Source organism: Homo sapiens, chromosome 15, assembly GCF_000001405.40.
Source record: "Homo sapiens chromosome 15, GRCh38.p14 Primary Assembly".
Taxonomy (NCBI): Eukaryota; Metazoa; Chordata; class Mammalia; order Primates; family Hominidae; genus Homo; species Homo sapiens.
Window position 1 is genome coordinate 96,387,834 of NC_000015.10, and position 14,661 is coordinate 96,402,494.

Sequence of the window (14,661 nt, forward strand, 5' to 3'; positions counted from 1 at the left end):
TAACTGTTGGGTACTATGCTCAGTATCTAGGTAATGGGATCATTCATACCCCAAACCACAGCATTATGCAATATACCCATGTAACAAACCTGCACATGTACCCCCTGAATCTAAAATAGAAGTTGGTACTATAAAAAAAATAAATCCAGAGCTTTGATCTGTAAGACCAATGCTAGAGCACAAGCCAATCATTTCCTTCCCTTTTCCTCGATTGTAGGTTTCTTCTTGGTGTGAACAGAAATAGTTGGATGACTTTTTTCAAGCACCAACAGCTCTTTAGTAGCAGGGTAAGGAGCATAATTTGGCTCTTAATCTAGAATGCTTTTTCTAGATTCTTCCCCTTTTTTAAAATCTTAAAGCCTTTACTTTGAGGTACTCTTTCATCCATCCCTTCACCCATGTACCAGTGAAAAAATGCATACTTGGCATATGTGAGGTCAAACTTGTGGTCCAGGTGAGCCCAGGCCTCAGCAATGGCAATGGTGTTGCTCAGCATACACACAGCTCTCTGTACCTTGGCCAGGTCTCCACCGGGTACCACATTGGGAGGCTGATAATTGATGCCAACCTTGAAGCCAGTGGGACACCAATCCACAAAGTGGATGCTGTGGTTGGTCCTGAGGGTGACAATGCCAGCATTGACATATTTGGGAACATCTGGTACATCAGGCAGCAAGTACATGTATTTACCATGTACTTCATGGTACAACATCATGGTACAACAGGCAGCAAGCCATGTATTTACCATGGTAAGACTCAGATTTTACCATCAGATTGACTGGCTCAAAACAAGCATTGGTGATCTTTGCTGTAGTAAGCTTTCATGGTAGGCTTTCTCAGCAGAGATATTAGGGGCCTATGTGAGCAGAGGGAAGTGAATGTGGGGATAGGGTACCAGATTGGTCTGAGGTTCCGTCAGATCAATATTCAGGGCTCCATCAAATCTGAAGGAAGCAGTGATGGAAGGCACAATCTGGCTAATAAAGCAGTTAAGGTTAGTGTAGGTTGGGTGCTCAATATTGAGATTTCTATGGCAGATGATGTCATAGATGGCCTCATTGTCTACCATGAAGCACAATCAGAGTGCTCTAGGGTGGTGTGAGTGGTGAGGATGAAGTTGTAGGGCTCAGCTACAGCTGTGGAAACCTGGGGTGTGGTGGGATTGGGTAAATGGAGAGCTCCAGCTTGGACTTCTTGCCATAATCAACAGAAAGAAGTTGTTATATTACATGTGCTCTGTGTATAAAATACTCAACATAATGAGATGATCAGGAACAGAGAAGGAAGTGAAACAAAAGGAGAAAATCCAGCTCTACATATTTTCTTTCTATTTCTACTCCCTATTCCTTAGAAGCTATCGGGGTCCTGACAGACTACAGATGTAACAACTGTGAATTTTGCACAACTGATAAATTATTTTAGATTAGTGAGATTGCCTTCAGTTGCAAGTAATAGAACCTCACTAGAGACTGGCCTAATTTAAAAAAGAATGCATTAGCATATATAATGGAAAAGATCAGGGAAAGAGCTAAGTATGCAAATACAATAGGAAACTATTTTTTTATCTCTTGGCTCTGCTTTTCTTTGTGTTGGCTTCATTCTCTAGTAGATTCTCTTGAAATGTCAGCGCAGATGGCTACTAACATTTCAAATTATATCTTACTAGTTTAGCCTCTTTCTCAATAGTTGCATTAAACATTTCAGAGTTGATATCCATAGGTCTTGACTGGATAACATATCCAGGCTTGAAAAAAATCACCATCATTCTGATTGGCTGGGCTTAGGTCACCTGCCAACTGCTGGAAACAATGGATGGAGTTAGCACTACTTAAACCTTAAGGAAGGACCAAAAAAGGAGAAAGGGAATGGTACCCTAAAGGAAAATCAAAGTGCTATATAAACAGGGAATGTATGCTGGACAGAGAAAAATTACAGATATCTGTTCTAGTACTCAACTACATGCTTCAGTACTCAACAAATGCAGGAGGGAACATAAATGATTATAGTCAAGGGTGACTTGGCTTTGCTTAACTGAAAGCAAAGAGGGTTATGATGCTAAGGACAGGTGGAAAAATCTAATAGACGAAATGTTTTCAAGTTACGTTCTCTTTAACACTACATTTCCCCAGAGCTTTGCACATGTAGTAGGATTAGATAACATCTTCTGCGGCAATTTTTACAGAAAAATATATTGGTGGAGAGAAGTTATGTAGGCTATAAAACAAAATTTTAAAACCTTGTCAGTGATCAGCGTTCTCCAGATAAATAAATATTTGGATATTTGTTAATATATGGATGTAAAGATGCTGGTCTGTTCTTTAGATAAGATTATTTTTTAACTCCCGGGAAATCCCTGTGATTCACCTTTGCTTAATCTGCAAGCAGTGTTGATTCCAAGCACAACTATGTTTAGCATGGGCATGTTGTCTTTGTGTCCTGTTTTTCTACAGGTGGCAATTACTGTTTCCTCAAGCCTGGAGTGTATGGTTATGGGACAGCCACTTCCTCCTTCAAATCACATCCATTAATCTGTGTGGGCAAAGTCCATCACTATCATCTATTGATCATATTTGGCTTGGGTGGAACAGATTTTCAACTGTCACAAGTAAAATACTCCCTACAGACCAGGTAAATTCATACAAACCCAACAGACTATGCTTTTTTTTTTTTTTTTTTGTGAGACAGGGTCTCTCTTCTGTCACCCAGGTTGGAGTGCAGTGGCGCGATCATGGCTCACTGCATTTTTGACTTCCATTGCTCCTCCTACCTCGGCTTCCCAAGTAGCTGGGACTACACGCATGTGCCACCATGCCTAGTGAATCTTTTGTATTTTTAGTAGAGACAGGGTTTTGCCATGTTGTCCAGTCTGGCCTCAAAGTCCTGGGCTCAAGCGGTCTGTTCTCCTCAGCCTCCCCAAGGGCTGGGATTACAGGTATGAACCACTGTGCCTGGCCCAGACTATGCTTTTAAATAAAATTTATCAACCGATATTTGTATCACACGTTCCTGTTTCCTAACTTCTGGCATGTAAACCGTCTCACTTATTATCACGGAAGCTTTGGAAGGCAGGTAGGGCAGATTATATTATTATTCTCATATCATAGGTGATGAAATAGAGATCTAGAGAGATGAGGTGAACTACTCAAGCTGATATGAGCAATAATTAATGTGAGTCTTCAGATTCTAGACCTCAGGTTTTTCTCAAGGTGCCTGAGTTTGGGTGAGGGTGGCAGTGTTGGCTAGAAGTGAGTGGGAAAAACTCTGGAATCCAGGTTTGAAGCCTGGTTCTGCTGATTGCTGGTTGTGTGACCTCAGGCAGATTTCTTAATCACATAGCCTCAAATTACTCATCTATATGTTGTTAAATCATTTTTTGCCTCATAGGATTCTTGTGATGATTAAATGAAGTAACGCATGAATGGCACTTGGCAGGGCCTCATATATCTCTCCTGCTTGAATATATCAGTTATGTTATTGTTGTTGTATATGTCCAAATCCAGATTCAACCTGCATTCACAAAGAGAAATGAAGAACTGAATCATTCGTCTGTGCTGTGCCAAGCTTCTGCCTCTATCAACCATATCTTTCAAGCATGGGTAGGAGGCAAGGGTGAATTGCCCCAATCGGTTGTTTACCTTGCTAAGCTTGCCTTCTGATAGCTTTTCTTCCCATTCTGATTGTCCATCACAAAGCCAAGTATATGTTGTATATGTTCCAAAGATTGTAAGAGTAAGAGTATTTGGTATATTCTAAGAGAGAAATGTAAACTCTACAATTTGATTCAATAATTAAGTATATAGCCATGTTAAAAACAGTGAAACAAAAACACCCATCTGAGTCTTTCTTCTTAGACTAAGTAAGCTCCAATGAAAGCATTTCTCCTATTTTACTTTGTTTTGAACTTTCCTCAGTTTTAGTGCATTATGAATTTTTCCCAGTGTTAGTTTTATTAGAGATGAACCAATTATTTCCATATACCTCCAACATTGGTTCTTCTGTAATGTTGGCTTTGAATACAGTAGTGGTCAAAACATCAATTTCATTTGGATAGACCCTGGCGGTTTTGTAGAGTAAAGGCAAATGAAAATAGCATGTTCTGGGAAGGTGCAGCCTTTCCTGTTGAACTTGGTTGATTCTTGCATTCATTCAGGACCATTGAACAGCCTGTCAGAAATGAAACTCAGCGGAAGAGCAAGACCTAATCCCTGCCAAGTGAGCTTGCTCTCTCATGGTGGATACAGAAAAGTAAACAGGCAATGAAGGATGGTGATGGAAGTATAGAGAGAATGGGAGCACACGCATGAGGAGCACTGAACTCAGACTGTGGGAACTCTTCTCAGAGATGGTGACATCTAAGCAGAGGGCTGACCAATGACTGTGGATTAGCAAGTCAGAGTTTGCTGGGAGGAGGGAAGAGGCAACTATTCCAGGCCCAAAGAGAAGATGCAAGGGCTGTGAGGATGGAGTGAACTTGGCTGGTTTATGGCGTGCAGAATTCTAGGAGAAACCTGGCAGGAGAGGGACATAAGAAGTTAGGGCCAAAATAGGGAGAGAGTAGAACAGTGAAAACTTCTCCCACGCCTACCCCCAAGTCCATGAAAGTGCAAGTGACCCCACAGTTCCTCTGTCTCCCAGTGGAAAGATAAGTTCCTTTAGCACTGGGCTTTCTGGGGACTAAATGAAAGCAACAATGACTCAGCACTTCACAACGTGTCAGGCACAGTTCTAGTTATTTTATAGTGATTTAAACTTCTAACAATCCTATGATGTAGGCAATATTGTTCTGCCCATTTTACAGGTGAGGATATTGAGACAAGGGGAGGTAAATGACTTCCACAGGGAAACCCAGCCGATGAGAGGCAGAGCCAGGACTGGATCCCAGGTGGTGTGGCTCCAGAGAGTCCCCCTCGACAAAAAAGGCTGTAGCGGTTAGGTGTCCTGTGAGCAGATTCAGGAATGCCCCGCAGAGCTTCCAGCGCAGTGCCATGGCAACTAGAGAGCACTCCCCTGACATTTGCATGAAGAGAGCAACTCTTTCATCTCTTTTTTGTGGGGTGGGGAGGGTGGTGGAAAGCCATGGTGAAGTAGTCAGGACAATGTTTCACTAAAACATGCTTATCAAAATAAGCATGTCTCTAAGCTACAAATTATAACAGCTATTGCAAATTATGGTGGTTTACCATGGAAGAGATTTCAGACTCCCCTTATCTTTACTTTTGCTTTCTCTTTAACATAGGTAATGAAATCAGACAGGTCATTGTCCATTAAAGTCTGTAACGCGTCCTGATTCTCAAGAAATGAAAACGAAACATTTTCTTTGCCTTTGCAGCACTGCTACACTTTATTCAAATTCAAAGACTGCTTTTTACCATGACTCAGTCAGCATTTTATTTTGTTGTGTCATTTTTAAAGCAAAATTTCTCTTTTTAGAAGACTATGTGACATGCTTCTGCTCCCAAATGAAAATGCAGGCTCCAGCCATACCTGACATGGCTTTTTGGTTTCTCTTCCAGAAGTTCATGGATTCGAATGCCAAAGACACAATATTGGTTTTGATGCACTTGCAGTAGCACAAAGTGAAGTCCTGGCGGCCTTATCCTAGTTTCATAAAAGAAAAAAAAGTTAAAGAGATGGGGAAGATAATAGCTAAAAAACAACAACAAAAAAGCTGAATTCAAACTGCGATGACTTTATCAAAGGACTGTCCTACTGACATTCAACATAACATCAAAATTAACATCACCTTGCCAATATTTGTAGTTTAGTCACAACTTTTCAACTACACTCTACTCTCTTTTGGGGAAAAGAAAGTTACGCATGCTAGCTGTTTTCAAGTTTGGCAGATGCACTTTGAAAATACTCGTTGGAGAGTGAGATTAAAAACAAAAACGCTGTGTAATATTTCTATTACCAGGAGCAAAATTGTTTCTATGAAAAAATATTTGAGGAACATCTTTAATTTGTTGCTGGAATTGATTTGTGTGTGTTTGTTGCTTAATTCTCTGTTCTGGTCAAAAAGCTGTCAAGTTGGATCAGGCCGTTTGATCCTATCCTATTTCCAGTCTTCTTCTAGGACCTGTGAGCACGGGCAAACACTTTTTAATTATCCTGATCAAGTGTGGGGGACATCCTTTTGCTGACCCCACTTGTAATCAACTGTGATCTCCTAGAAGCAGGCGAATTGATTGCTTCTGTCCTCCCCAACTAACCAGAAGAGTAGGTCTTGCATTATCCTGGGCCTTTGAAAAACCCAACTCAGTGATTGATTTTGTGGCTGCCGGTGGCAGCAAATTCCTCAGCATGAATTCTACCAAGTGAAAAAGTATTTCCTATAACTTGCTTTAAATTTCCTTAGCATTAACTTCTCTGAGTGGCCCAGTCTCTTATGGGACAATGTAATAAGGATCTATCGGTTTTACTGCCTAGTACATATCTTTAATGCCTAAGTAAATCTCTCTTATTTTTCCGCCCAGGCTTAGTAATTCTGACTTTTGAAATCTCCTGTCGTGAACAAATCTACACTGCACTTTATTTCTTGCCCCGTCCTGGAATTCAGCCACTCCTGCACTACATTTCTTAAGGTGAAGAAGTGAAAGACGAAGACACCAATCCAAGTGAACGTGTGTTATTCTCTTCTATAATGCTATTGTATTATATTCCCTCTTTTTTTTAAATTCTCTTGATTTCTCTGCACAAAAGAGGGAAATTCTTCCAAAGCAACGGAAAGTTTCCTTGAAATACTTTTATCTAGTCACACTTACATAGTGTAATGTCTCTCTCTTACAGCATTGTACAGTTTGGGATTTGTTTTTAATCCTGTGGAAAATGTCCTAACAGGGCTTTGGTGTATCTTTGTTCCAATTTCTACATTGCTTGGGGAGGGGGAGAAGCTTTCTTTGTATTAAATGAAATACACCACTACTTCATTAAATAAATAGACACCTCAACCATTAGTTGCTAATGAAACAAAAATCTAAGTAAAACATCTAACTATCCAAATACTACATTTTCTCTACCTTTGCCCCAAAATGTGCCTCATCTCCCTGCACCTCCAAATAATATTTCTAGTGTTTTCATTTTATTAGTTTTGCAATGTCACTGTCCAGATAGAATTATTCGATGACTTAAAACAACTTTCGTAAGATTTTCAAGCCCTAAATTAAAAAATCATATTTCAATACAACAGATCTTGTCATTTATTTATTGGGATGTGTGTGAGAGGGACCTGCTGCTTCGTGCTCGTCCAGTACATTGGCTTTGAAATATACTTGAATTTGTGGAGGCAGGGTGTAGAATGACAAAAACAAACAAAAACCCCACAATACAGACCAAATTGGGGTACACACGGACAGATTGGTTTTAATTTTATTTTAATTTTTGAGTTTCTATGAGAAGAAGAATGAGGAGAGACAAAAAAGGGGAAGAGTGAGAGATAGTATATTTAGGGTATGACAAATTGGGAATGGCTCTGCAGTGATCTTTTTCTTTTTCTTATTTATTTTTTGTTTTTTTTGGTTTTTTTTTGAGACACAGTCTCGCTCTGTCACCCAAGCTGGAGGGCAGTGATCCTGGCTCACCGCAACCTCTGCCTCCCGGGTTCAAGCGATTCTCTTGCCTCAGCCTCCCAAGTAGCTGGGACTACAGGTGCGTGCCACCATGCCCGGCTATTTATTTATTTATTTACTTTCATTTTTATTTTTAGTAAAGATAGGGTTTGGCCGTGATGTCTGGGCTGGTCTCAAACTCCTGATCTCAGGTAATCCACCTGCCTCGGCCTCCCAAAGTGCTGGGATTACAGGCTTGAGCCACCACTGCGCCCCACTCTGATCTCTTTTTCTGCCCTTCTTCTCTACCTTCTTCCTTCCCTTCCTTCCTCTTTTCCTGCCTTCCTCCTTCCCTCCCTCTCTTCCTTCTTTTTTTCACTGTCATCAAAGGTTATTGAGCCCCTCCCAAGTGTAAATATTGTGCTAGGCACCAGGGTACAGTGAAAAGATAGATATGATCCCTGGACTTGCAGAGCAGAACCAGGCAGCCAAAAGCATGTGTGTTAGGAGTCATCCAGGGGGAGCCATAGATGCATGGGCAAGGAGCACGTGCGGCTGTGAGGGTTTCCTGTGGGAAATGATGCTAAAGACAGTGTGTGAAAGATGGATGGAAGTGGCCAGGGGAAGGAATTATTAGGGGAAGTTAAAGAAATCATCCCCAAACCAGAAGGTGCTCACCACAGAGGAGCTGAAGGAAGTCCCGCAGGGCCGATGGGCAGGGCTCCAGGTGGAAAGTTCTCCAGCAAGGCTATCCAGGCTTGGAGTGCTGGTCATTACTTTGAAAACAAAACTAATGCCAGAACTCAGAAACCTAGTTGGGGGAGAGAGGGTGTTCTTTTTCCTAAATCTAGCGAAGATTAGGTACAATTGGAATCATTATAATAAAATTATCTGACATAGCTACAGAACTCCAAAGAGGAGAAAGTTAGAAATTTGAGAATCTACTAAATGTCTGCATCCCTGTCCCCTCTCCCTAAATGAGGACGTGAACATGTGACATGGGCATTCCAGTGGGATGAGCTGAGTGCACTGGAGGCTACTGGGGTTGTGAATTGGCAAAGAGGCTGACCAGGTGCAGGGAGATTTGTTTTCAAGGGCTCTCCTCTCAGCATTAGGGACATACAACAGGGATAACATAGAAAACACTTTTTCAGGTACTTGATACTTTAAATTTAATTTTAATTAAAATAACTGTTTCTAGAGACAGGGTCTTACTCTGTCACCCAGGCTGGAGTACAGTGACACAATCACAGCTCACCGCAGCCTTAAACTCCTGGGCTCAAGTGATCCTCCCAAGTAGCCTGGACTACAGGCATGCACCACCACACCCAGCTAATTTTTATTTTTTATTTTTGCAGGTAGGGGTTGCCCAGGCTGGCCTCATACTCCTGTCCTCAAGCTGTCCACCCATTTTGGTCTCCCAAAGTGCTGGGATTATAGGCGTGAGCCACTGCGCCCAGCCTTAATACTTTTAAACTTTCTCTCGATCTCTCTCTCGCTTTCTCATTTGGTAGCCAAAGCCATAAAAGTCATAAAAATTAAGCAATTTGAGATTTCCCACCCAGGGGAAGGGTCACTCTGTTGACAATGAGAGGAAATTAAAGGTTGGGGTCATGTTCTCTTTGCCCATCCTTCTATTAATGCAGAAAGATAATTGCATGGCTCTGATTGCATGGAGAGATAAACGCCCAATCCCCCTCCACTCTTCCTTCGCCACGTCTCCAGGACTGACAGCAGACCAAGGGACATTTGGCTTCAAGTGGGGAAGAAAATTTGCTGGAAAAGGCCTCCTCAGAGCTGGGCATAGCTCTGTCTGATGGAGGCCTGACTTGCTTCTAAAAAGAGTGTGGTCTGGATCCATCCCCTTTTCCCAAATCATTTTAAATCTTGCTGAATCAGTTCAATTTGAAGTCTAATCAACTATCTGCTTATCTCTCTTAGTTGAGCCTTCAATGTCTTTTTCTGTTTGGACTAACAAAGTGAAATGGTTAGAAGGACTATCAAGCATACAGATTTTCTTTTGCAAAAGTAGGGATATATTCTGGGGCTTAGTTGAGGGAGTCAGTGTAGGCTCCTCAAGCCATCATCCAGTTTCTGACTTTAGCACTTTTTTTTTTTTTTTTTTTGTAGAATTTCACTCTTGTTGCCCAGGCTGGAATGCAATGGCACAATCTCAGCTCACTGCAACCTCCACCTCCCAGGTTCAAGTGATTCTCCTGCCTCAGCCTCCCAAGTAGCTGGAATTACAGGCATGTGCCACCATGCCTGGCTAATTTTTTGTATTTAGTAGAGATGGGTTTTCACCATGTTGGTCAGGCTGGTCTCAGGGTCAGGATGATATGTGTTAATTCAGATTCAAAGAGGCACATCTTTTATTTTGAAGTGAACTTTACATAACAGCAACTTGAACTGGACAGCAATGCTTGTGGAATCACCCTGGGCAGGTAATGCGCTTATCAGGCCTGGACACCACCATATTCCTCTGTATCCCTACATATTCCCCAGAACCCCTTTTGGCGTCTTTTGCAGAGAAAGTTCTCAAAACTGAATTAAGTGGCTGATCCAGCACAGCGGAGGGCATCTAAGGATGCCAGAATACCCAGCCCCAGTGTCCATGTCTGAACCTTGCCTCTAATCCCTTTCCTAGTTCCAGTTTCAGATAGAAAAACATTCCATAACAGGGGTCGTCAATTTGGAATAGCAATGATGACAACAATAATGTAATAATGACCTAGACTGAGCACTCACTATGCATTAGACTGTGCTAAGCATTATTATTGTATATAATCCTTACAGAATCTGGAGGCAAAATGTTCCTATTTCACATTTCTTATTTCTATTTCACAACAAGGAAACTGAGCCTTAGGGAAGAACTGTTCAGTCACAGAGTTAGAGAAAGGTGAACCCCAGACCCCACGTCGAGTTAGTCTGATTCTGGGGACTGTGTCGTTAGTCATTACCCAGACTCAGAAGCCTGAACCTTAAGGCACAGAAGGTTCTAGAGACGAAGAGAAATTTTTCTGGGCTGTATTACACTCAAAGCAAATTTAGGGTGAGAGGCCTGTCCAAGGGATTGATTATTTTCTTGTTTCCTTTGTTCTTCCTTTCCTTTGTGTCACAACTCTTTATTGAATTGTGCCAGGAATTATGACAGACACCTGAGTGGGGTAAGGAGGCTAAAGAAGAAAGACTCTGCTCATTCGGATCCCCTGCCCTCTTTCCATTCTTCTTCCCACGGGACTAATGATCTGAACAATCCTAAAACCTGGCTGTAGTCATGTCTTTGGGGGACTCCTGCAGACCCCTGTCTCCTACAGTTCAACTTCTCAAGCCTACTTTGTAATTCCTAGGCAGAATTCGGAGCTCTGCTGTCATCTTTTAGTCTTTCACTTATTCAAAATATTTTGATCCAAATATGCCCTTGGTGCCACACTTTATTAATGCAGATATAACTCATACTAGTGAGTGTCTGTTTTGGAGCCACTTGCCCTGCATAAGTTATTGGGTTTCACTGTTTATCTTAGTTAAAAAAAAAGTTCCATATGCTCTGACCTGCTGACACCTAAGCCCTGCCTGTGCAGTTAAAACAGGAAAACTAGTTATTTGATATCATGAAGGCAATTCAGCTGGTGGACAAACTCAAATGTTTCCATTTCCGATGGATTGTAAGGAACCATAGATTATTCATCAGGGATGCTCAGGAGAAAAATTGTTTCTTTTGTTTACTTGTTAATTTCCAAAATGAACCCAATACAAAGATGATACAGCCATGGTGCATTTATTTTTCATTGTTAGCATCTATCATTATGTCATTGCATAAGAACTGCTCAAATAAATTGTTTTAAAATCACGTGGATGGCTTTATGTCCTTTCTCCCACCTGCCTGCAGAGTTGCCTGAAAAAAGAAAAACATGAGCGTCAGCCAGGCCACTGGGGTGAGGAGGCTGTTCACCGTGGGGGGGTGCCAGGCTAGCCTGGGTGTCTGGGGTCAGGCTTTGGCAGACCACCAGAGACAGGGCAGCTCACAGTCCAGGACTGATCCTAGGGGATCCTGAGCCAGCAAGTCACTAATGGGAACCAGGGTCGAGAGTGGAGTGCGAAATTTATACCATGGACCAAAACCTCCGAGGAGGAAGCGATTTCACTTAAGGACATTTTCTTCCTAGTTTTAATTTTCCTTTATTTTAACTGCTACACATTTGTTTCTCACCAGATTCCTCGGTGTGTCTAGTTGTTCTGTCATGGGTGCTCCTGAATGCACCATCACACGAATTTATCTCTAAAGAACACACTGGCTGTTTTGGGAGAAAAAATGCTGGTTTATGTCTTATGATATAAAAATGGCTAACATTTACTGAGCACTTATTTGTACCAAGTGTTGCCCTAAGATGTGCATGGAATATTTCAGGTAATTCTCAGAACCTACTGTCTGGGTGCTATTACCAAGCCTAATTACTGTTGGGAAAACAAAAGCATGAGAAAGGTAAGCAATTTGCCTGAGGTCGCAGACCAAGTAAATCGCAAAGCTCCCCTGTAGCCTGATGGAGTTCATGCTCCTCACGGTGACCCCCATGTTCCTCTAGACGGAGGCAGCGCTTGCCTTGGTGTCCGTCTGGAGCTATTGGCAAGGTCTGCATCTCCATCTCTGTTAAGTACCTATTGTGCTAACGCGTACTTGCAAACCACCGAAAGGGGCATTGGGGTGGAAGGCAAAACGAAACATATTCTTACGATATGATCTAGCAATCACACTTCTTGGTATTTACTCAAATGAGTTGAAAATTTATGTCCACAGACAAACCTGCACATGAATGTTTATAGCAGCTTTATTCATAATTGCCAAATCTTGGAAGCAACCAAGGTGTCCTTTAATAGGTAAATGGATAAACAAGCTGTGATACATCCAGACAACGGAATATTATTCATCAATAAAAAGAGATGAGCTTTTGCACAGCTTAGGCATAATAATAGTAGTAAGGCACATTGCTAAGTAAAATAAGCCTATAGGAAAAGGCTACATACTGTATGATACCAGCTCTGACAGTATTGAAAAAGCAAAACTATAGGGACAGTAAAACAAACAAACAAACAAAAACCCAGTGGTTTCCAGGGGTTTTAGGGAAAGGGAGGGTTGAATAGGCAGGCAGAACACAGAGGATTTTTTGCTCTCTCTCTTTTTAATTTTTTGAGATGGAGTCTTGCTCTCCAGGCTGGAGTGCAGTGGCGCGATCTTGGCTCACTGCAACCTCCACCTCCTGGGTTCAAGCAATTTTTCTGCCTCAACCTCTCGAGTAGCTGGGACTACAGGTGCACACCACTACACCTGGCTAATTTTTGTATTTTTAGTAGAGCCAGAGTTTCACCATGTTGACCAGGCTGGTCTCGAACTCCTGACCTCAAGTGATCCTCCCCCCTCAGCCTCCCAAAGTGCAGGGATTACAGGTGTGAGCCACCATGTCCGGCCCACAGATGATTTTTAAATCAGTAGAGCTATTTTCTTTGATACTGTAATGATGGATATATGTCACTATACCTTTGTAAAAATCCATAGAATGTACAACACCAAGAAGTCAACCCTAATGCAAACTATGAATCTTCATTAATAATAATGTATCAATATTGGCTCATCAGTTGTAACAAACAAACACTAATGGAAAATGTTAATAATAGGGGAAGCTGATGAGGAAATATATATCTCTATGCTTTCCATTCAATTTTTCTATAAACCTAAAACTCCTTACCAAAAAAAAGTCTATTGATTTTTTAAAGGGGACATTGGTGAACTTGAGTAAGCGGGGCTGGGAGATAGAACTGGAAGAGTATTTTCACCCCTTTCTACTTTTTGCATGGTTCTATTACCTTTTCAAAAAGAAGTTAAATTTTAAAAAGCCATTTCAGTGTTTCTATTAATATTTGGTATTCAAAATAAATTAGGCTGGGAGAGGTGGCTCACAGCTGTGAGCTGAGGCAAGAGGATCACTTGAGCCTACGAGTTCAAGACTAGCCTGGGCAACATAGGGAGACACTGTCTCTAAATAAAATTTAAAAAAATTAACTGGGTATGGTGGCACCCACCTGTAGTCCCAGCTACTTTGGAGTCTGAAGCAGGAGGATCCGCTTGAGCCCAGAAGACTGAGGCCGCAGTGAGCTGTGATCTTGCCACTGCACTCCAGCCTGGGTAACAGAGCAACACACTGTCTCAAAAAATAAAAATAAAAACAAAATAAATTAAAATGTAAAGCCAAGGAAAGAATCTCAGCTTTGGGTATGATCCTGAGGATATGGCCTTGTGTTTGACTCATTTTTAATGATGAAATTATGATATCTTGTTCTTGACACATTAGAATCACCAGACCCAAGAATGACCCCTTTGATGAGTTTGGGGGTCCTTAGGCCTTCATGCTGCCTGCTCCTGCCTTCCCAGATCCACACGCTTTTTCTGTTTTTTTCGTTTTGTTTTGTTTTCTTTTTTTTTTTTTTTAGACAGAATCTCACTCTGTCACCCAGGCTGGAATACAGTGGCACAATCTGGGCTCACTGCAACTTCTGCTTCCTGGGTTCAAGTGATTTTCCTACCTCAGCCTCCCAAGTAGGTAGGATTACAGTTGTGCACTACGACTCCTGGCTAATTTTTTGTTGTATTTTTAGTAGAGACAGGGTCTTGCCATGTTGACCAGGCTGGTCTCGAACTCCTGACCTCAGGTGATCTGCCTGCCTCAGCCTCCCAAAGTGCTGGGATTACAGGCGTAAGCCACCACACCAGGCTGGTTCTACACACTTTTTTTCACTCCTCAGAGACTTTACAGAGAGCTTACTCTAGTGGTCCACTTTGAGGCTGCTGAGGTGAGGTAGTGTATGAGAGAGAGGAAAAAAAAAGGCAAAGAAAAAGAAAAGAACACAGAAAGAGGGAGGAAGGAACAAAGCATGAAAGGAAGAGGAGGAGGAAGGGAGAGAGGGAGAATATAATTTTGTTGGGCAAATCAGGAAGTTGGTGTGGTCTCCCATTAAATTCCCGGATTTGGCAAGTGATTCCAGAAAAAGAAAGAAGGGTACCTTCATATTTTCTAGCAAACAATGAGGTTGGAATTTTTCCTGATTCTTCTCTACTTCAAACCGT

General features: G+C 41.7%; 1 long non-coding RNA gene and 1 pseudogene across 1 annotated transcript in view, besides 2 other annotated features; one reads left to right on the forward strand and one right to left on the reverse strand.

Moving 5' to 3' along the window:
- The window catches only part of LOC101927263 (uncharacterized), a 43,664-nt gene extending 36,481 nt beyond the window's left edge, over positions 1–7,183 (forward strand). Inside the window, exon 5 of the long non-coding RNA XR_007064788.1 lies at positions 6,474–7,183. This is a non-coding gene — a long non-coding RNA (uncharacterized LOC101927263). The remainder of the gene's footprint in view (positions 1–6,473) is intronic.
- On the reverse strand, positions 380–1,219 carry TUBAP12 (tubulin alpha pseudogene 12; annotated as a pseudogene).
- Positions 3,758–4,957: an enhancer, noted in NCBI's record as "MED14-independent group 3 enhancer chr15:96934820-96936019 (GRCh37/hg19 assembly coordinates)". NCBI's record gives its function as "activates an origin of replication core promoter dependent on BRD2, BRD4, P300/CBP and CDK7 cofactors, and independent of MED14, by STARR-seq in HCT116 cells {active_cell/tissue: HCT116}" and the evidence as "EXISTENCE:reporter gene assay evidence [ECO:0000049][PMID:35650434]".
- Positions 12,917–13,131: a silencer, noted in NCBI's record as "fragment chr15:96943980-96944194 (GRCh37/hg19 assembly coordinates)". NCBI's record gives its function as "represses an EF-1alpha promoter that drives an FKBP-Casp9 reporter gene in an ReSE screen in K562 erythroleukemia cells {active_cell/tissue: K562}" and the evidence as "EXISTENCE:reporter gene assay evidence [ECO:0000049][PMID:32094911]".